This window comes from Homo sapiens, chromosome 6 (genome assembly GCF_000001405.40).
Source record: "Homo sapiens chromosome 6, GRCh38.p14 Primary Assembly".
Lineage (NCBI taxonomy): Eukaryota > Metazoa > Chordata > Mammalia > Primates > Hominidae > Homo > Homo sapiens.
This window is the reverse complement of record NC_000006.12, coordinates 113,840,646-113,843,719: the sequence shown is the minus strand read 5'-3', so window position 1 is coordinate 113,843,719 and position 3,074 is coordinate 113,840,646. Positions and strand designations below refer to the sequence as shown.

The 3,074-nt window shown below is 35.0% G+C and overlaps 1 pseudogene; it reads right to left on the bottom strand.

The window, feature by feature from the left end:
• Nucleotides 1-2,817: 2,817 nt before the first annotated feature.
• Nucleotides 2,818-2,906, bottom strand: LOC124901547 (uncharacterized; annotated as a pseudogene).
• Nucleotides 2,907-3,074: the final 168 nt, after the last annotated feature.

The window sequence follows — 3,074 nt, the reverse complement described above, 5'->3', positions numbered from 1 at the left end:
ATGCTGTGTCCCCACATTTTGCATTTCTTAAGCTATCTTTTCTTAGTCCCTGCTTTTCCTCAAATATTTTACAAGCCAGAGCTGTTTAATGTAATTGGACATTTCATCTGCACTTAGCTAGGAGAGCCAGCCTTGCTGTTTATCTGGGGGTAAGCAGCACTTTGAAAAAATTTACATTAGATTAAAAAAAAAAATCTCATCCAGCCTGGTGCAGTGGCTCATGCCTGTAATCCCAGCACTTTGGGAGGCCGAGGCAGGAGGGTCACTTGAGGTCGTGAGTTTGAGACCAGTCTGACCAACATGGCGAAACTCTGTCTCTACTAAAAATACAAAAATTATCCAGGCATGGTGGCGCATGCCTGTAATCCCAGCTACTTGGGGGGCTGAAACACAAAAATCGCTTGCAGAGGTTGCAGTGAGCCGAGATTGCACCACTGCACACCAGCCTGGGCAACAGAGTCAGACTCTATTTTAAAACAACAACAACAACAACAACAAAACAAAAGAAACCTCATCCTTCTCACAGAAAGTCTAGATAGATAAATGAGCTTTCTTCGGGTTCTCTTGTTCTCTCTCTTTTTTTTCTTAAGTGCTAATTACCAATCTTGTTAGCAGTAGCATATTAATAATTTATTTACACCCTGAATTTCTTTGGGCAATATTTTGTTAATACCTATGCAAATTTTATTTTTGTAGGCTTGCTTTTCTCCCAATTTTGAAAAAAAATTGTTGAAAAGAGATAATTTACAGCAATTATAATTCTCATAATAGTTATTATCCTCATTGGTATTAAAAGATATGAAACATCAATATACTGGGAGGCAGTGCTCTGTTAGGAGCAGCAGTTAATAATTTTGGAATCAAATAAATAGCTTTGAATTTAGGCTTTACTATTTCCTGGCTTTGTGACTTGGGGTTAGGTACCTAATCTTCTTCCTCATCTGAGAAATGGGGGTAATAGGAGCATTGCCTTCCAGAACTGTTTGAGACTTTTCCTAAGGACCTGAATATAGGAAGTTCTCATTAAATGATAACAAATCTGAGTCCAGACCATACAAGGGTAAGGGTGGGGGTAGGAATATCAAATTGATTTGTGGAAGATCAACTGTTCATATATTGGTAAAAACAATGTTTTACAGCAACTTCATAACTTCCAAAGCATTTTTGGATCCATTGTTTTACTTAATCTTTATAATAAATGGCAGGTGAGAATTAGTTTCATTTGAATGATGAAATAGATACCAAGGCCTGGAAATTTTTCTCTAGATTATACTGCAGATAAGTTGCAGAAAGTGATTTCAGATGCCTGATAACTGCATTTAAAAGAACCCTCAAGAATCTTAGAACTTCATAGATCAGTCATCAAATTTGAATGGAATTCTCATTATGTGGTCACCAGTATCATGTGTTTCAAGGTTGATGTCCTGCCCAGTGCATGGCTGCACCGCATCATTTTGACACAGCATCTTTTCCACAGTGGTAGGTCCTCTGGAGGCATTCAGTCCTCTGGGAAAAATTATGGACTTTTAGATCATGCTTATATTAAAAAGCCAGCTTTAAAAGTTGGCTTCGTGTATATTTAAAAGGGGTACAGAAAAAAACTTTGATAAAATTTTTAGTACCTTTGTAGCTGAGCTTTATAAAAGCTATAGTTATTTACATAAATACAAAAATTAAGGAGGCAAAATGAACATGTAACAAAAGAAAGTTCTGGACTTTGTAATTCTGCTGTTTTTTATATTACCAAGTAGTTCTGGATAAGGCAGGAACAACATTAATAGTACAGTTTGCTAACTCCTATTTTTTCCATTAAAAATTTTAATGAGAAAAAAATGCATTCTTGTAACGTTTTCAAATAGAACAGGAGTATATAAAATAACTGAAGTAAATTCCTTTTCATTGATCCTTTTTAAGAATTCTACCTCCTGTTAGCAAGTTGTAGTGTATTTTTTCAGGCTTTATTTTATTCCCATGCTTGCTCATGCACAGATATATACATGAGTTTTACAAATGGGATGAATGACATTATTGTATGCAATCTAGATGCAATCTATCTAGATTGCTTTCTGACTTCTTTTTTGCACTTTATATCTTGAAGAATTTCCCTAGGAGTATATATAAAACAACCTAATTCTTTTAAACAGCCATATAGTGTTTCATTGTTCATATGGAAATATTAAAACTTACTTAGTCATTTCTTTCATTGATGAATGTTCAGGTTGTTTAAAATTTTTCTCTATTCTATCATTAATATTCATATATATATTTGTCCACATGTGTAAGTATTTTTGTAGAATGGATTGTTAGAAGTAACATTGTTCCATCAAAGGGCATAATCTTTAACATATTGATGAATGTTGCCACACTGACCCACAGAAATGCTATGGTTGTTTATATTCAGATGCATAGTGATGAAAATGCCCTTTTCCTTATACCCTTACCAAAACTACATACTATCAATTGTTCAATTTTCTTTAATCGGTGGGAAATCATGAAAAAATTATTGATCTTTATATTCATTGATCACTTTTTTCTTTTTATTTTGTTCATTTTTATTCTTTTACCTTATTATATTGGATTGTCTTTTCATTATTTAATTGAAGGAACTCTTCAGTTTTTACATATTATAGCAGTTAATCCCTTTCTGTTGTATGTTACACCTATCTCCTTTCAGTCTGTTTTGTCTTTTATTAAACATGGTTTATGTGATCTTTTCCTGGGCAGAAAAATTGAAAGCATCATGTAGTTATATCTGTCCGTTGTTTCCTTGTGTTCCTTGTGGCTTCTGAGTTGTTTTTTTTTTCCTCCCCAAGTTCAGGTCAGATGGGTAATGTGACAAGATTGTAGTGCATTTCACAGATGCATGTGAACACCCAATCATCATCGCTCATGAGCTACAAAAGGAGCAGGCTTCTAAGTTTTCTATCTTGTTTAGGAATGATATTTCCTTAAGAGTACATATATATTCGGGTTGGGCGAGGTGGCACATTCCTGTAGTCCCAGCACGTTGGGAGGCCAAGGAGGGAAGATCACTTGAGGTCAGGAGTTAGAGACCAGCCTGGCCAACATGGTGA